Below are 20,054 nucleotides of genomic sequence, written 5' to 3'. Positions count from 1 at the left end.
AGTATTTGCAGCCATTAAAAGATGCTTTAAAGACAAAAAATGTTTATAAACATGGAAGATTTTTTTAAAGACATGATACAAAATTATATACATATTATATAAACATTTCGCAGAAAAAAAGATGGAGATACAACAAAATGATAAAAGTACTACATTTAGTGGCACTTTCCTGTTTGTTTTTCTATGCCTTCTAAATTTTCCATAATGTGCATTTACTACTCGTTAGAGTGGAAAGTAAAATAAAGGAAGAGTGTTTCCTGAAGGAAGGGCTTTATTCAGGGTCTTTCTTATCAGTAGAATGAAGCAGCACCACCACGACCTTTATTTTAAACAGTGTATTAGCAATTACAGAGTCTGTTCGTTTCTTAGTAATGTGGCCCTAAGTCCTTTACCTTTTTCGGCTGCTATCTTTATAGTCAGCTTATAGTCCAACAAAACCTTTTTTGTAAAACCTAAAATTCTAGACTTTATCTCTCCATTATTTTGTACCATTGGTTTAGAAAGACAGGTGACATTTCATTTTATTAGGTTTAGCCCATTGTCCAAATTTGTCAGGATCCCTTTTGGTACCAACTTTGTCTTCTCATACAAGAGCTACTTCTTCCAGTGGCAGGTCACTTGCAAATTTTCTTAACCTGCCACCAATATCCTCAAATCAGAAATTTATTAAAATGTCACATAAGGTAAAATGAGGGCAGAAACTGTGATTTCACACCAGCATAGATCCATCAATGAGCAACCTTTGAAAACAGCTTTGGAAGGGTTAGACACCCACTTCATTAAATCCCTACGCAACCCTCATCTCTCCCTCTTATCCAAAGATTTTATGAGAAATTGTTCAATGACTCTTTGGAACCAACATATAAGCATTCCTGGATAAACATGTTATAAGATTCTCATACAGCCTGTGGATTTTCTTATTTTTGACTAAGGGATACTTGTTTTCTGCTATTCTATGGGAAATAGCATAAAATCAGCAGTAAAGATAAGATTCAGTATCTCTAGATTCATGCATTACCACATTGACCAAACCAGAAAGTTTGCTGTATTTAAATTGTCTTAGGGCCAGGCATGTTGGCTCACACCTGTAATCCCAGCAGTTTGGGAGGCTGAGGCAGGTGGATCACCTGAGGTCAGGAGTTCGAGACCAGTCTGGCCAGCACAGTGAAACCCCATCTCCACTAAAACTACAAAAAATTAGCTGGGTGTGGTGGCGGGTGCCTGTAATCCCAGCTACTCGGGAGGCTGAGGCACGAGAATCGTTTGAACCCAGGAGGTGGAGGTTGCACTGAGCCAAAATTGTGCCACTGCACTCCAGCCTGGGCAACATAGCAAGATTCTATCTCAAAAAAAAAAACTGTCTTAGAAAATGTCTAAAGATAAAAATGTGTTAGACCTCTATTAGGTCATATGGTATAAATTGCACTGTTATCTAGAGGAAATTATAATACATTGGAAGTTATCTTAAAGGATTCTTATCTATAAGCTAAAAGGATAAATACTAGAGCACTTATTGGTAGGTAACATAGCATGGTAAAGGTACTGATTCACCAGTAGTCAGCTGTGTGACTGAAAAAGCCACTTGGACCCCCTGCCCCAAGAGCAAGCTTCTTTAAATTGCAAAAATGGAGATGATACCTAGCCTTAGGAGATGTACTAAAGACAGAATGAGGCAATTAATAATTGTTAACATATATTAAGGTGCTGTGTGCCACACTCTACTACTTTGCACGGTTCACATCATTTAGTCCTCACATGACCCTAGGAAGTGCTATGATGACCATCCCCATATATTCGACATGCTAAGATATAAAGTGACTGGCCTGATCCACACAGAAAGTGGTGGCCCTGGCATTTGAAGCCCCTGACTCCAGAGCCTGCACTCTTAGGACTACATCTACAGAGTTAGTATTTATTTTTTGCCTCCCAGCATCCATTCTTCCACCTTTTGGTAATAGATCCTTAAATTCTTAGAGTCCCCCTATCTGTGTCTAATCCTGGTAAGACTAACAATCAGGATGTTCATCTCTCTAGCCATGACAAAAGCCAGGCTGGATTTCCCTCGTGACATTATACATGGAGGGACCTGATTCATTCCCTCAGGAATGCCTTGAAAGCCTACTGGGGGAGGCCCCAGTGGCTCACACCAGTAACCCAGCACACTGAGAGGCCGAGGCAGCAGGATCACTCAGCCCAGGAGTGTGAGACCAACTGGGCCACATGGTGAGACTCAGTCTCTACAAAAAATACAATTAGGCCAGGCACAGTGGATCAACTGAGGTCAGGAGTTCAAGACCAGTCTGGCCAACATGGCGAAACCCCATCTCTACTAAAATACTAAAAATACAAAAATTAGCAGGGCATGGTGGTGCACACTTGTAGTCCCAGCTACTCGGGAGGCTGAGGCAGAAGAATCGCTTGAACCCAGGAGGCGGGAGTTGCAGTGCACCAAGATTGGTGCCACTGCACTCCGGCCTGGGCAACAGAGTGAGACTCTATCTCAAAAAAAAAAAAAAAAAATATATATATATATATATATATATACACATATATATATATACATATGTGTATATATATATATACGTATATATATACATATATATATACGTATATATATATACATATATATATACGTATATATATATGTATATATATATATATATTAGCTGAGCATGGTGGTACATGCTTGTAGTCCCAGCTACTCGACAGGCTAAGGTGAGAGGATCACTTGAGTCCAGGAGGTTGAGGCTGCAGTGAGCCATGTTTGTGCCACTGCATTCCCGCCTGGACAAGAGAGTGAGACTGTGTCTCAAAGAAAAGACTATTGGGCCTGCTGCCTGGATCCAAAGAGCTACCTGTGGTTACTGTCCCAATAAACCCTTTTTTCCTAAGTTAGCTAGAGATCGTTTCTTTTGCTCAAAACTGAAGAACTGATATGTCAAAACCACTACACACTGTAATGCGTATCATGTGTGAGAAGTGGAGGACTACCAACGACTATAAGCCTCAGTTTCCTCATCTGTAAGTGGAAATAACAGTACCCAAACTGCCCACAACTGTCATGATTAAATAAGACAATGCATGTGAAGTGCTTACCACAGCATTTGGTAGGTAGAAAATACTCCGTGACACCTACTACTGCTAAGTGCTCAGTTATTTTTTAGAAAAAGGGCACTTGAGCAATTATTCCCATTAGGTGAACCAAATCTCTGAAATGGAAATAATTATGGCCAAAGACTCCATTTTCCCACAGGTAGAGATAAGTTCGAATGATTATTATGCAGGTTGCCCACAGTTGTTACGTAACTGGACTCCAACCTGAGCTTTCCAAGGAATTATTTGTCCAGGGGCATATTATTCCTCCCACTACAAATTATTAAGATTGAATAGCTGACTGTTTAATAAAAGAACACCTCAGCACTCAATACAGCTAACTTGGTCCTGACACTCCTAAAACTTAAGTGGGTGGATGATCCAAATGAACTGACAGGCAGTTTTGTTTTGTTTTTGCAAGGACAGTTATAAAATAATATTAACACATTACTTAAGATCTCTAACTGTGAATGTGTCCTGGCTCAGACAGCATTTCGGATTCAGACGGCTACTCCTGCCGTACCCATTTCTCCTCTCAATATTGGGTTTACGCCTTCTTCCTTTTCATCTTTTCCTTCCTAACTCCTCTCCACAATGATCATTATTTTGTCTGACGCCTGCTTGAACATTATGTATAAGGCTTTACTATAGAATAGAAAGTCATCAGGAAAACATTTTAACAAAATAAGCAAGACAAAAACCCAAAGACTATACACAGTCCAGGACAGACCTTCAGAATCTGTTTATTTCACAATTGCTAGAGCACCATGTGAATTGGAATGCCTGCTTTGGCACTGCCATCTGAGCCAAAAGTGCCTTCTTTAAAATTCCCACTGTGGGGTTCAACTGGCAGGTGCTGTCATGGATCGAGGAAAGGGAGGAAACTTGGTCCTCACAGCAGTGATGTACGGTAGGGGGTGAGGGGCAGAGATGGAGCAAAGGAGCCAGCCACGTGGTCAGGAGGTTGGTTAATCACAGGGAAAATGAACAAATAAGCCAATGTATTGGAGACTCTGGAAGTCCAGTTTTTAAATATAGGGTGGAGAAGATACAATTGTGGAAAGGGAGAAGACTAGAATAAACTCTGTGGAGTAGATGTGAAATAGGTATCAGTGTGTACTTGTTTTTAATATATATATGGATGGATGAGGTAACAAGCATAGACGCATATATTTCCAAATTTGTCCACTGGGAGAACGCACAGTGGCAATGCTAGCACAGGGGCAATGAGCACAGCCTTTAGCATCCGGATCTTGGTTTTAAATACCATTCTCCACTAATATGAACCAGGACTCTTTGGAGAAATGGCTGATGTCAGGAGCGGGGTAGGGAAAATAGAAGACGAGCCTGGAACATCTTGTGGTGCCAGAAAGCAAGGAAGTGCTCAATGAACCATGGGGTATGTCCAAAGGACACAGGAGCTAGCTGGAAAGTGCTCTCGCTAGTCAAATCTTGGACAATGGGGGCATCAAAATAAATCATAACTTACAGATGATAAAACAGGGACCCATGTTCTATACTGATATAAATATTGAATAAATGGGGAAGAAGAGACCCCGTTTCTACAAAAACTTTAAAAATAATCTGGGTGTGGTGATGCATGCCTGTAGTCCCAGCTAACTCCAAAAGCTGAGGGGAAAATGGCATGAGCCCAGGAGTTTGAGGCTGCAGTGGGCTATGATCTCATCACTGCACTGTAGCCTGGGCAACAGAGCAAGACACTGTCTCAAAAGAAAAGAAAAGAAAAGAAAACTACCATTTGGCAATAACTGATCCAGACAAGGATCATCAATGGATGCTAAAAGTAAAGGGTAAAATTTTGAGAAATAGGATATTGAGAGTCTCAAAATAGCTACCCACAAAATACGTAATTCCTCATTAATTAATACCTGTAATAATCATTTCACTATGGATACATATACCAAAACATCATGCTGTACTTTTTAAGTTTATACCAAAAAACAAATACAAGTGGAGAAAATACTAACAGTGGAGAAATCTTGAAAACATCGTAACCAACTGTTAAAAATTAACATCACCAGTAATGGAAAAAATTGACATGATGTGCCTCCTGATACAATGCAGAGAAGAAGACAGCATCACCTCTCTGGTATTCCTGCCAAAAATTCACAACCTGAATCTAATCTTGAGGAAATATCAGACAAACCCAAAGTGCACATCATTCTACAAAGTACCTGGCCTGCATTCTTCAAAAATGTCAAGGTCACAAAAAAGGAAAAACCAAGGAACCGCTCCAGATTGAGGAAGACTAAAGGGAAAATGTAACTAAATGCGTGCTTCATCCTGATTGGACTGTGGACCAAAAAAGGAAAGGGTTATTGTAAGGATATTTTTGGAGTAAATGGCAACATTTGAATGGGGTTCGTGGATCAAATGGTAGAATTTTATCAATGCTGGTTTCCTGATTTTAAGTACTGTGGTTATGTAGGAGTGTCCTTGTTTTTAAAAAGTATACACTTAAGTATTTAGTACTAATGGGACATCACAATTGCAACTTAGTAACAAACAGTTCAAAAAATAATGTGAATACATAGCTAGAGAGTGGTATGGAAAATATGGCAAGATGTTAACAATAGAAGAATCTAGGGGAAGGATATACAGGATCTTTTGAACTATTCTACTTTTCTGTAAGTTTAAAATTATTTCAAAATAGTTAACAAATAAGACAAGTAGTATTTGAGCTGTTAGGAATTTGTCACACTGAGATTTTTGTTGTTTTTGAGACAGGGTCTCACTCTGTCACCCAGGCTGGAGTGCAGTGGCGCGATCATTAGCTCACTGAAGCCTCAATCTCAAGGGATCCTCCTGCCTCAGCCTCCTGAGTAACTGGGACTACAGGCATGAGCCACCACACCTGGCCAATTTTTCTGATTTTTAATAGAGATGAGTTCTCACTATGTTGCCCAGGTTGGTCTCAAACTCCTGAGCTCAAGCAATCCTCCTGCCTTTAGCCTCCCAAGGTGCTGGGATTACAGGTGTGAACCACTGTGCTGGGCCTACACTGATTTTTATACTATTAGAAAAATCTCTACTTAACGGTTTCATTATCTTAGGTAAAAGTATTCAATAGAATAGCTGAAATAAATGTGAAGCTTTTCTTAATAGGCAGTAATTAGATAAAATGAACAACATTCTCAATCCTCCTCATGCCACATAATTCTCTCCCTGCAAGTTTGTCTCAAAAAAAAAAAAAAAAAAAAAATCACATATAAGAAAAACCTTAAGAATTTGAATTTGGTTTTTCCTTATAACTGATAAAGAATTTACACAATCTCTTTAGACATTTATGTTTTGATATTTAAATATGAAATTTCAACTATACCATGACCTATGGGTGAAGTTGGAAATTATAGTAACCTTATAACTTCGTCATCATCTACATAATTTGATACTTTATAAAAGTATAATTCCACTACTTGTATTTTAGTTATAGTCTGATATTAAATAGTTAATGTAAAATTAAAAAATCAACCACGGTAGCAAATGTTTGTCCTGAGAGGGTTTTTAAAGTCCTTTTTCTTTTTTAGGGGGTGTGGGGGGGTCATGTAGTAACAAGTGGCAATGCCACATGAGGCTGAGACCACAATGTGTTTCTAAAATAATTTACAATATTCCTAACAAGCTTATTAAATAGACCTGAAGAGAAATGAAGTTCCAAAAATATTTAAAACAAGGGCAGTGGCAGCACCCTTGGAATAAAGTTTCCCACAGAGTTACGTCTGATAGTTTTGACTGTACAGTATGTGCTTCTTTTTGTTTTTAACATAACAATTGTCAGAGAAAAAAGAAAACACCTATGATACATTGGATATTAAAGTCAACATAACCTCAGAAAATGAGGTAGGAAGGCCTCACGAGTCCTTTATATATTCTCCACTTGAAATTATCATTATCAAAAATTTTAGTAGGATCATGGAATCCTTAACAATTTCACAAAAAAAGCACATACATTTTTGGTTCTCTTTGACTATATGGAGAGAGAAAGAGAGATGGATTCATTCATTCAAGACTCAGTGCAGTCTCAACCTCCCCAGGCTCAAGTGATCCTCCCACCTCAGCCTCCCAAATAGCTGGGACTACAGCCACCATGCCCAGCTAATTTTTCTATTTTTTGTAGAGACAGGGTTTTACCATGTTCCCCAGGCTGGTCTTGAACTCCTGAGTTCAAGCAGTATGCCTGCCTTGGCCTCCCAAAGTGCTGGGATCACAGGTGTGAGCCACGGCGTCCAGCCACGAGGAGAGATTTCAAACTCTCCAAACTTCTATTTTGCTCTTTGGAATCCCATTTTGACTTCAAGAGCTAAAATGAAATGGAGTGAATAATGAACGAAAAGCACCAAAAAATAGAGCTGTGTGTGCATGTGCGTATAGTGGTGGGGAGGAAAAGGGAAAAGCCAAGAAGATACCCTCACTTCCAGCAAAGCCCTGGGTTTTTAAATTTTGGTAATTTTTGGTATTTTCCCATAAACACAAAGTGCTTCAAGTGAGACAAAAACCAAAGAGGAGGTAAAAAAATAAACATTTGCTTGGAACTTGCCCACGTGGGAAGATTTGAATGTTCCTTCTCTAGCCGCTCCCCCTGCCCTTTTTTTTTTTTTTTTTTGGAGACAGAGTTGCGCTCTGTCGCCCAAGATGGAGTACAGTGGCGTGATCTTGGCTCACTGCAACTTCCGCATCCCGGGTTCAAGCGATTCTACTGCCTCAGCCTCCCAAGTAGCTGGGATTATAGGCACCCGTCACCACACCTGACTAATTTTTCGTAATTTTAGTAGAGATGAGGTTTCACCATGTTGGCCAGGCTGGTCTGGAACTCCTGACCTCAGATGATCCACCCGCCTCGGCCTCCCAAAGTGCTGGGATTACAGGTGTGAGCCACCACGCCTGACCTTAGTTCCCATTATTGAATCCAAATTCATTCTACATTCATTCTATGGTTACCAGAAAAAAAAAAAAAAAAAACCTGCAATTAACCTCTCAATCACTGAATTACTACCCACTGTTTATACCCTTTAAGTGATAATCAGTCCATCAATATTTTAAAGGACAATAATCTTCTGATAAAACTCTAGACTCTTACATTAATCAAAGAAAAGTACAGAAGAAGATAAGATTTACTCTTTCTCCCCCGACCTTTACTGGACACAGTATAGAATAGAAATCAATCTATTTCTCAGCATGCCACTGTCCTAAATAACAGCTGCCATTCTTAGAGAAGATAAACTGAACATATCACTCCTAAGCAAAGTGAATGTACACTAGGGAACCAAAGCAATAATGCAGTGTAGAAGCAACAATGGATTCTCTAAGACTTGGTTCCAATCCCAACTCTGCCTTTAAACAGCTGTGTGGATCTCAAGCAAATCCCTTTCCTTGTACAGGGTCATTCATTCAATACTAAAATAAGTGGGTTGAATTAGATGAGCTCTCTAGTCCCTTTCAGCACTAACATTAAAAGACTCTAAGTTATAAATGTCAACTGCTTTTTACCTCCTATTAAAAATGAGTGGGCTTTTTTGCAGAAATTGGTAAGCTGAATCTTAGGCTGAGTATGGTGGCTCACGACTGTAATCCCAGCACTTTGGGAGGCTGAGGCAGCCGGGTTACTTGATGTCAGGAGTTCGAGACCAGCCTGGTCAGCATGATGAAACCTCATCTCTATTAAAAATACAAAAATTAGCCTGGCATGGTGGCACGCGCCTGTAGTCCTAACTACTCTGGAGGCTGAGGCAGGAGAATCTCTCGAACCCAGGAGGCGGAGGTTGCAGTGAGCTGAGATTGAGCCATAGCACTCCAGCCTGGGTGACAAAGCAAGATGCTATCTCAAAAAAAAAAAAAAAGAAAAAAAAGAAATCGATAAGCAGAATCTAAACTCACATGAAAATGCAAGAGACCCAGAATAGCCAAAACAATCCTGAAGGAGAACTAAAGTTGGGGAACTCACACTTCCCCAATTTCAAAAGTTACTACAAAGCTACAGTAATGAAGACATGTGGTACTAGCATAGATATATAGATCAATGAAACATAATTTCAAGTCCAGGAACAAACCCATACACTCATGGGCAACTGATTTTAAACAGGGGTGGCAGAAAAAAATCAATGAAGAAATAGTCTTTTCAACAAATGATGCTGGGACAACTGGATATCCACATGCAAAAAAATGAAACTGGACCCCTACCTCACACCATATACAAAAATTAATGCCAGGAATGGTGACTCATGCCTGTAATCCCAGCACTTTGGGCAGCCAAAGTGGGAGTATTGTTTGAGTCTGGAAGTTTGAGATGACCAGCTTGGGCAACAGAGTGAGAAACTGTCTTCACAAAAAAATTTTAAAAATTAGTCAGGCATGGTGGCACACACTTGTAATCTCAGCTACTTGGGAGGCTGAGGTGGGAGGACTGCTTGAGGCCAGAAGGCTGAAGCTGCAGTGAGCTGTGATTGCACCAATGCACACAAGCCTGCGTGACAGAGTGAGACCCTGCCTCAAAAAGAAAATAATAATAATGATAATAATTCAAAATAAATGAAAGACCTAATGATAAGAGCCTAAACTGTAAAACTGTTAGAAAAAAAAAGAGTGTAAATCTTCATGACTTTAGATGAAGCAATGGTTTTTTAGATAGAAAAAAATTAAGTGTAAACCTTCGTGACTTTGAATGAAGGAATAGCTTTTAAGATATAAAACCAAGGCCAGGCAAGGTGGCTCACACCTGTAATCTCAGCACTTTTGGGGGCCAAGGTTGGTGGATCACTTGAGGTTAGGAGTTCAGGACCAGCCTGGCCAACATGGCAAAACCATGTCTTTACTAAAAATACAAAAATTTAGCCAGGCATGGTGGTGGGTGCCTGTAATCCCAGTACTCAGGAGGCTGAGGCAGGAGAATCCCTTTAATCTGGGAGGCAGAGGTTGCAGTGAGCTGAGACCGCGCCACTGCACTCCAGCCTGGGTGACAAAGCAAGACTCCATCTCAAAAAAAAAAAAAAAAAAAAAAAAAGATATAAAACCAAGCACAAAGAACTGAAGGGAAAAAAACAAACTGGACTTTATCAAAATTAAAAACTTTTGTGCTTCAAACTACACTACGAAGAAAGTGAAAAGACAAGCCACAGAATGGAATAAAATACTTGCAAATCAATATATAATGGTTTAGTATCCAGAAAATATATAAAAAAACTCTTACATCTCAACAGTAAAGATAAACAAATTGAAAATGGACAAAGGATATGAACATAAACAAATTGAAAATGGACAAAGGATATGAACAGATATTACTCCAAAATATATAAAAAGTCAATAAACACATGGAAAGAGGCTCCACATCATCAGTCATTAAGGAAATGCAAATCAAAACCTCAGTGAGACACTTCTTCACCCACACTATGATGACTAAAATTTAAAAAGGGAGTAATAAATGTTGTCAAGAATGAGGAGAAAATGGAACCCTCAAACACATGCTGGTGGAAATGCAAAATGTTGTAGCCACTTTGGAAAACAGCCTGGCAGCTCCTCAAAAGGTTAAGCAGAATTACTGTATGATCCAGCAATTCTAATTCTTAGATATATATCCAAGAAAATTGAAAACATATGTACATACAAAAAAAAAAAAACTTGCACATGAATGTTCAGAGCAGCATTCTTAATAGCCAAAATTTGGAATCAACTCAAATGTACATCAACGGTTGAATGGATAAGTAAAATGTGGTATATCCATTCGGTGGAATAATATTCAGTCACAAAAAGGGTACTGATACATGTTACAACAGTGATGCACTCTGAAAACATTATGCTAAGTGAAAGAAGTCAAACATAAAAGTTCATATATTGTATTATTCAATTTTTATGAAGTGTCCAGAAAATCCAAATTCAAGGAGACAGAAAGTAGATTAATGGCTGCCAGGGGTCATAGGAAGGGGGCATGAGGAGTGACTGGTAGTGGGTATGGTGTTTCTTTTTGGAGTGATGAAAGTGTTCTGGGATTATATAGTGGTAATAGTTGTACAACTCTGTAAATATACTAACACCAATGAATTGTACACTTTAGAAGAGTGAACTTTATGGTATGTAAGTTGAATCTCAATTTTTTAAAAAAGCCAAATGGCTCACCTTAAAAAATTGATTTCCTCACTTCTGTTTCAGGCCACCCAAGATATTTCTAAAAATATAGAAATGTTTACAATGATATTTGACATTTATAATCCTACAGCAACAAATACTACAATCAAATTTCATTTTAACCAAATTATTTGCAGATATCAGTTGATAGTCCACGTTATACCTATACTTGCTTCTAAATAACAAAGATCTGAAAATTCCGTCTACAGTCATACCACCCTGAACGCGCCCCATCTCATCTGAAAATTCCACTGAGTTCATGATTTATCTCATAGTCATCTTTAAAATTTATATTTTCTGAAGTAATTGAAGCTAAAACAAAGTCTTCATTTGAGAAATTTTAGTAATATTGTCATCTAGAAACAGGTAAAAGTATTGCTCTTGCAATGATTATTATTTAGCACAGCCATCTTAAGGCAATACTTTAAAATTTAATTCCTGTTCATAGGACAAGGTGAGGCAAGAAACAATTTTTCAGTATTGGTATTCATATTAGTCTGTTCTCACACTGCTATAAAGAATTGCCTGAGACTGGGTAATTTATAAAGTAAACACGTTTAATTGACTCACAGTCCCACAGGCTGGGGAGGCCTCATGAAACTTACAATCATGGTGGAAGGGGAAGCAAACACATCCTTCTTCACATGGCAGCAGGAAGAAGTGCCAAGCAAAGGGGGAAAATTCCCTTACAAAACCATCAGATCTTGGGCCAGGAGCAGTGGCTCACGCCTGTAATCCCAGCACTTTGGGAGGCCCAGGCGGGCGGATCACCTGAGGTCGGGAGTTTGAGGCCAGCCTAACCAACATGGAGAAACCCCGTCTCTACTAAAAATACAAAATTAGCTGGGCGTGGTGGTGCATGCCTGTAATCCCAGCTACTCGAGATGCTGAGGCAGGAGAATCGCTTGAACCCAGGAGGCAGAGGTTGCGGTGAGCCGAGATCGTGTGCCATTGCACTCCAGTCTGGGCAACAAGAGCAAAACTCCATCTCAAAAAACAAAAAACAAAACAAAAAAAAACACCCATCAGATCTCATGAGAACTCACCATCACAAGAACAGCATGAGGGTAACCACCACCATGATTAAATTACTGCCCACTGGGTCCCTCCCACAACACGTAGGGATTATGGGAACTATTAACACAATTCAATTTGGTGGGGACACAGCCAAACTGTATCAGTATTACAATACAATATGCAAACCAGATGCTTTAAATCATAAAACAAATTCAGATTTTCGTTCCCCTGGAATATAAATAGCATTATAGGGCTTAATCTATACAGTAATAAGAGTTTAAGTGAAATTTTTCCAAAGCACTAAAAAGAAAACATACTCTTTATATTTGCCTTTTGTAACATTGTTTTATCTGGTTTTCCATATCAAAAGTCTGTAAACTTTGCATTAACACTATAATCTACAATAGTAGCTTTATAAGCATTTGAAATAGAATGAAATAGTAATTCGAGTCTGATATTACTGGGTTGTTCCACACATAGTTAAATAAGATCGATCCTTCCAAAAATCTAAGGGTAGGCTAGTTGTGGTGATTCATGCCTGTAATCCCAGCACTTTGGGAGGCCTAGGTGGGTGGATCGCTTGAGGTCAGGAGTTTGAGACCAGCCTGGCCAACATGGTGAAACCCTGTCTCTACCAAAAATATAAAAATTAGCCAGGTGCAGTGGCATGTGCCCGTAGTCCCAGCTACTTGGGAGGCTGAGGTGGGAGAATCACTTGAACCCTGGAGGAAGAGGTTATAGTGAGCCAAAATCTCACCACTGCACTCCAGCCTGGGTGACTCTGTCTCAAAAAAAAATTAAGAGTAAAGAAGAGGGCTTAACCATTTGAGAAATAAACATCAAGGTCTGCCATTCTAAAAAAGCATTAATGGATTACAATAGTTTCAATAGTTTACATGGTTTTCACTCTTTAAGTTCAATGAAAATTGCATATATTGTTTTTACTCTTGAACACAGTGGTTAATACTATATCAGGGTGGTTAGTCACAAGAAAGACGCAAATACAGAAAGGATAACCTTATCCAACTTCAGTATTATTTTAGTAGTAATGTGTATAAAATCCAACCACTGCTTGGGTGACCTTAGGAGACAGCAAGCCTAAGAGATGAAAACATTTACACCTTTTAATTAAATTACACTGTCACCACATAAAAGTGTGAGGTTCAACATTTGTTTTCTTAAAAACAGAGCACTAAACAGTTTAACACAGGACCTAACTTACGGCTAAGATGTTTCTAAAATGTATGCAGAACCCTTAAGACTATACTGCATCAAGTAGTTCTTTTGAATTATGTATACTCAAATGATGGTGTTATAATTTACATTGAAATGCCACAACAAAATCTTGATAAAACAAGATATAGGAGAAATAAAAATTAATTTCTGAACCAAATGTGTACTACCTTACCCTAGAGTAAATCACTGGGAAATACAGGCAGAAAACAGACATCCTGCCTGTGAAAACAATTGCATATTCAAACTGGAGAGAGTCATAGCACGTATGCTTTTAAAAGTAAGTTTCGAAAAACTGTTTTATCAGTTTTGTTTTTTTTTTGGAGCATGTCTTTTCTAAATAATTCTCACTTATCATTCCAGAAAATATAACAAACAGTTTGTAAGAACTCATGCAAAAATGTTTCTCTAAGGCCATAAATTGGTTTGCTAAGTTGCATTGTTTTATTCAAGTAAAAAGCCCTTCTAGAGAACAAGGAGTCTGTAAAGAAAACCAATCACCTTCAACTCTTGGGCCTGTACACCTGTTAGGAGCTCTATCACTCTGAAAGCCAAAAGATAGAATGCTCATTTGAGCATTTGCAAAATGTTCTCTATTTATATTTTTAAAAATCTGATACATGTAAGTTTTTCTGGCAGATTCTTTTTGTATGTTACAAAACAAAACATCAAAAGCTCAGAGTAAGATAAGAATCCCTTTTTCTTAGAAAGGTCAAGCAGATACTTCTTGACATCATGTCCTTTATACAATGGCATATTGTTCATATAAAAGGTCTCTTATCCTATAAAAATCTTGACAAAGGCAGCCTTCTAATCCAATGCGTCCAGTTTCCGTCTAGAAACCAAATAAAAAAAATTCTTTAGTACATTTTCTATTCATTAATATGCAGACATAATAACCGAAATATATGAAATAGATTACTTTATGATTGGTCAGGACATGGGTTGCTCTGATTCACAGCATATGGATATAATATTGAAGTCATGAATTTTACATAGACATAAATGTCAGAAGATTCAAATAATTAAAATTTACAATAAAATTATATATCATTTCTTCAAGAGTCTTTCATAAGCCTTCAAGTCAATAAGACTTCTGTAAGCCTTTGAGGTCATGATCATGAATATAAATTACTGATCTTCAGTTTTGTGAAAATACCAAACAAGAATTACAGAATTTCAAAATGACAAAACATCAGACGTATGTGTTCAATTCAGCCCTTATTGAAAACACACTTACTCTGCGGACTGCTACTTGATTGTTGCAAACAAGTACACCTCCTACAAATTCAGCTTGAATCCCCTCCCGTAAGAGAACTTGCTTGAAGTCTGACAGCCTTGGTTCATTCATAAAAACTGACTGATGTCCAGGAACCTTAGATAAGGTCAAAGGGGAAAGAATAACTTCAAGTAAAACACCAGACATACAACTGTACTGAATAAAGTAAAATACTACATTATCTCTAAGAGATTTTCTATTATTCCCTGAAGTCCTTTGACAGATCATTTCAAGACTGTAAATCACATTCCAAGTTGTTATTCTAAATTTTACCCCATTATTTAACATTATTTAACAAAGCCCTTCACATTTTCTGTTTCACAATCAGTTTTGTTAGTCATGCCTCATCATAACAGAGACGTTTGGTAATGTTAGGCTCTTCACTCACCCACTTGCATAATGGGGTCAACTAGCGTGCCATGGGCAGGACTGAACCAAAAATTCATTTTCTAGATCCCAGTCATTTGCTTACTTCAAAAGACGTTTCCTCCCCAATCCCATTTTCCCTGTCCCTCCTTCCTCAGAGCAAATGTAATGGATGCCATAGGTTCTACAATCAGTAACGAAAGTGGTTCTTGCCTAATGCTGCTGCTTTCTGCTTTGACATTACTTTGAAGAGCATTAGCTTTAGCACAGAAGAAAAAAATATTCTTATTCCTCCTCCCAATTTTGAGGGTTGTACTAGAAGGGAATCCAACAACAGAGGCTGTCTCTCTATTCTTAATTTCATAGTAGGGCTGAAGACATCACTTGACATGCATGTAGGATTCATAGTTTTAATATTTTTCCAAGTTTAATTACCTAGAATCTTGCTAGTTAACTAGATACCTCTCAAGAATATGTAAATGCTAGACTAAATTATATCTATACTTAAAGATTTCTAACTATATCAAAACCAAAAGTTATTTGAACTGAATAACATAAAAAAATGGAGGTATGACTATTGGCTGGGTGCATTGGCTCACGCCTGTAATCCCAGCACTTTGGGAGGCTGAGATGGGTGGATCACCTGAGGTCAGGAGTTCAAGACCAGCCTGGCCAACATGGCAAAACCCCGTTTCTACTAAAAGTACAAAAACTAGCCGGGCCCAGTGGCTCATGCCTGTAATCCCAGCTACTTGGGAGGCTGAGGCAGGAGAATCGCTTGAACCCGGGAGGCGGAGGTTGCAGTGAGACAAGATCACACCACTGCACTCAATCCTGGGCAACAGAGCGAGACTCCATCTCAAAAAACAAAACAAAACAAAAAAAAAACAGTATGACTTTCTTAGAAAACTATAAATCTCCTGACTGGAAGCAGGCAGGTGATCCTCACAATCATCAAACTTAAAATTTAAAAATCCAGACCAAAAAAAAAAAATCATGAAACAATTATGTACCTTAAAAGATTTGCTAAAGATATGTCATTCCTTAGCTATATAGAATTAATATATACACAGAGACATACACACAGAAGCATGTCACAAGTTCTCTTTTTTAAAAACTCCAAAATCAGCCCAAATGTGAGACATATTTTATGTTCAAGACAGGGTCTCACTCTATCATATAGGCTAGATGCAGTGGCACAATTGTGGCTCACTGTAGTCTCGAACTCCTGAGCTCAAGCAATCCTCCTGCCTCAGCCTTCTAAGCTGAGATTACAGGTGCATGCCACCATGCCGACTAGGTTTCTGACAGGGTGTCCCTATAATCAGGCTGATGTAGAGCTCCTGGCCTCAAGCAATTCTCCCACCTCAGCCTCCCAAAGTGCTGGGATTACAGGCGTGAGTCACTGCCCCCAGCTGACATATATTTTAAATGGTTAAAAATATAAAAGGTTCCACAGACCCACTTAGTTTTAGAAGGGGGGAAAAAAACCAAAAGACATGAAAACTAGAAGGATGACAAATTCAGGAAGAAATCAAAAAAGCACATGCTTTTTTTACCTCATGAGGTGGCAAGGGTTCCAAAGTAGGAATGATCTCACTTTCTTCACCTGTTTCTTTTTCATCATCTCCGAACAGACTTTTCATGGCCTTTTGTTGTGCTATAACGCTAGAATCTGAGGGAGCTTCCACTTGCATCTCTGAGTCTTCTCCATCATCCTTTAGTTCTCCTTCTTCTAAAATAACCCCTGTGTCCACTTTGGAAACTCTCATATCTAAGACACCATCTATCCAAGCTAATTCAGCATCTTTTGCCTTACAAAACTGAAGAGAGCTGACAAGTGAGTCTTTTAACCTCACCTAGACATGCAAAGGAGGGGGAGAGAAATAAAACCCACAGAATACATATTAACAAATTAAATATAACCTATTATCATTTTCTACCTCTGGTAATATGTTAAAATTGGAAAATCTTTCACTCATCTGAGTCCCACAATGACCTGCAATGACCTCATTACCTGCAGATCATTGGGCCCCTGCCTACTTTCCAAAATAGAGATTCTTAACCCTGACTACAAAATGGAATCACATGGCAATTAAAACAAAAAGTATATCAGAGCGTCATATCCAGTGTTTCTAACATAACTGGTAAGATTAAGACCAGAAAAACTGAGTCCCTCTGACCCTCACGAAGCTCCCCAGATGATTCTTATGTGCAGTCAAGGTTGAGAACCACTGATCACTCCCATCCTCTAGTACTTGGCATACTTCAGTAGGTACTGAACTGCTTGTCCTTTCCTGAATATACCACAGAATTTCACATCTCCATATTCTTGGAAGGTTGCTTCTTCTTACTCTGCCCAGAATAAATTTCCTGCCTGGTATGTGCACATCCATTTCTTCCAGATATAGACATCACTCTGGCCTTAAACTGACACCATCTCCCATTACCAGACAAAATTTATCTCTCTACTGTGCTAGTCCTATATTTGGTATCCATCTCCATTTGTTCCAATTAGGAGTAGAACCTTGATATCCGGGAATTCTTCTAAAACTTTTGAATTCTTAATCATTTTCCTCACCTCTGTACTTTTGCAAATATGGTTCCCTCTGCCTAGAACGCTCTTCCCCCCCTTTCCTACTCTGTCTGTCCTGACAACCCATCTAAACATCAGTTAGGATTAGTTATCACTTCCTGTAGGAAACCTTTTCTAAACCTCTAAATGTGGGTGGTTTCCCCTCTTGATACTCTCATAGCATCCTGTACTTCTTCTCTCAGTGGCACAACAACATGATAAATGGTATTTCCTTGTTCTAAGCCCCATACCCTATGAGGTCTGCTAGGGCAGGAGACCATCCATGTCTGTCTCACACATCTCGGTATTTCTAATGTTATCTGTCCTAACCTGCAACAAAAAGTACTTATTTCTACTCAATGGCAACTCCTGGCATGTTTACCTGGTAGATGTGAGTTTCACTAGTGGCATCAACTGTTTCATGTAGCTTTGGCATGTACACTTTAATATCTTTCCCACCAAAGGCGCGACAGCACTCTGCCAGATCTTGACTGGCCTCTGGTGGGCCATGGACGATGATCAACTGTCGTGGTTTCATCTGATTAATGATTTTTTTAATGGAATCCCCATCAGAGCGTCCTTCATAGTCTATGTAGGTAACCCGGGCTCTGTAATTAGATATGATTATTCAAGATTACTTTTCTCATAATTCTAAAAAAAAATGGCTTTTATCATGTATACAATATATAACACTAGGATTTGAGAAATACACATGTTATAGTATCTGTATGATTTATTTTATTTTTGTTTTTATTTTTCTGAGATTGGGTCTCGCTCTTTTGCCCAGGCTAGAGTGCAGTAGCATGATCTTCGCTCATTGCAACCTCTACCTCCCAGGTTCAAGTGATTCTCCTGACTCAGCCTCCCAAGTAACTGGGATTATAGGCATGCACCACCACGCAGGGATAATTTTGCATTTTCAGTAGAGATGAGATTTCACCATGTTGGCCAGGCTGGTCTCAAACTCCTGATCTCGAGTGATCAGCCTATCTCGGCCTACCAAAGTGCTGGGATTACAGGCATCAGCCACCGTGCCCGGCCCTATCTGTATTATTTAGATTTTATCTACACCCAAAAATATATACTAAATGATATTACTGGACAAATAAAAAACTTTGTTCTCTGATGACTTAAAAGAAATTCCAAAATGATCACTTACTGGTATTATTTAACTAAGTAGAAAGCGGGAGAAAAAAGGTTTCTAACTACTTCAGATCACAACAGTATTTTCCAGACATTAGGGTCTTAGAGATGTTTAAGTTAAGGAGTATATTTTATGAAACAAGCAGTTACTCAGAAAAATTAAACTGTGAGTCACATTATTCCCTTTCACCTGCTTACAGAATAAAAAGGCCAAAAATAATTTTTCTTCATATAAATGTACAATTTAATGTTACAATTTAAGCACCCCCCACCACCACCAATTCAATTACTTTGGCATTCAAATACCATTAATGAAGAGAAAATATCATGCCACCATACTTCACAAGTCTCTTCATACAAAAATAAATTTTAAAAGCACAAACTTACTAAAGAATATTCAGAAATTTTGCTTGACATAATGTAAATTATATAATTCAAATGCTTGAAATTTTATCTTATAATCTATTTTCAAAATGTCACAAAAGCACTTACTTTATTTCAATAGACTCTGTTGTAGAAATACATTTAGTAGGAACATCAGATAAATCCTGATCCATAGGTTCATCTCCATTTGTCAAACCAGATTCTAATTTGCTTTTTTCTTCTTCAGTAGCTTGAAGCTCTGGCACTAAGAAATCCTCTGGTCTAAATAATAAGTCTCTAATTAGAAGCAGTAAAAAGCAAGCTAATACTACATAACATATATGACTAGTAGGTGGCATAATTTTTGGAGTCCTCACATATCTCAAGATTTAAATATACATTTCATCCAAAGCTGATGCAATTTCATATCAATTACCAGATGGCTGTATGTATTGCGTTTTTTGGTTTTTTTTGAGGTAGAGTCTCCCTCTGTCACCCAGGCTGGAGTGTGGTGGCGCCATCTCGGCTCACTGCAACCTCCGCCTCCCTGTTCAAGCAATTCTCTGCCTCAGCCCCCAGAGTAGCTAGGATTACAGGTGCCTGCCATCACGCCCGGCTAATTTTTTTGTATTTTTAGTGGAGATGTGGTTTCACCATCTTGGCCAGGCTGGTCCTGAACTCCTGACCTCATGATCCACCTGCCTCGGCCTCCCAAAGTGCTGGGATTACAGGCGTGAGCCACCACACCTGGCCTGTATCATGTTTTTCTTTTTTTATTTTCCACACAGGATAGTAGTGTTTTCAAATTTGCAATTACAACATGTGATTGCAGTTGTTTTTCTAATAGTC

The 20,054-nt window shown here is 38.6% G+C and overlaps 1 protein-coding gene across 4 annotated transcripts in view, besides 1 other annotated feature; it reads right to left on the bottom strand.

The window, feature by feature from the left end:
• Positions 1-3,820: 3,820 nt before the first annotated feature.
• Positions 3,821-20,054, bottom strand: part of CPSF2 (cleavage and polyadenylation specific factor 2) — a 50,177-nt gene continuing 33,943 nt past the window's right edge. For 3 of the 4 annotated variants that reach the window (NM_001322272.2, NM_017437.3, NM_001322271.2), the window contains 5 exons: positions 19,335-19,487; positions 18,082-18,307; positions 16,684-16,983; positions 14,720-14,854; positions 3,821-14,314 (listed from right to left, as the gene is read on the bottom strand). In NM_001322272.2, coding sequence (NP_001309201.1) covers positions 14,222-14,314; positions 14,720-14,854; positions 16,684-16,983; positions 18,082-18,307; positions 19,335-19,487 — 907 coding nt within the window. In that variant the 3' untranslated portion in view covers positions 3,821-14,221. The remainder of the gene's footprint in view (positions 14,315-14,719; positions 14,855-16,683; positions 16,984-18,081; positions 18,308-19,334; positions 19,488-20,054) is intronic. The other variant, NM_001322270.2, reaches the window with a different exon arrangement.
• Positions 18,065-18,266: a silencer, noted in NCBI's record as "fragment chr14:92624044-92624245 (GRCh37/hg19 assembly coordinates)". NCBI's record gives its function as "represses an EF-1alpha promoter that drives an FKBP-Casp9 reporter gene in an ReSE screen in phorbol 12-myristate 13-acetate-treated (for megakaryocytic differentiation) K562 erythroleukemia cells {active_cell/tissue: K562(+PMA)}" and the evidence as "EXISTENCE:reporter gene assay evidence [ECO:0000049][PMID:32094911]".

The sequence above is a fragment of the Homo sapiens genome, chromosome 14, assembly GCF_000001405.40.
Source record: "Homo sapiens chromosome 14, GRCh38.p14 Primary Assembly".
Lineage (NCBI taxonomy): Eukaryota > Metazoa > Chordata > Mammalia > Primates > Hominidae > Homo > Homo sapiens.
This window is presented reverse-complemented; position numbering and strand designations above follow the sequence as displayed.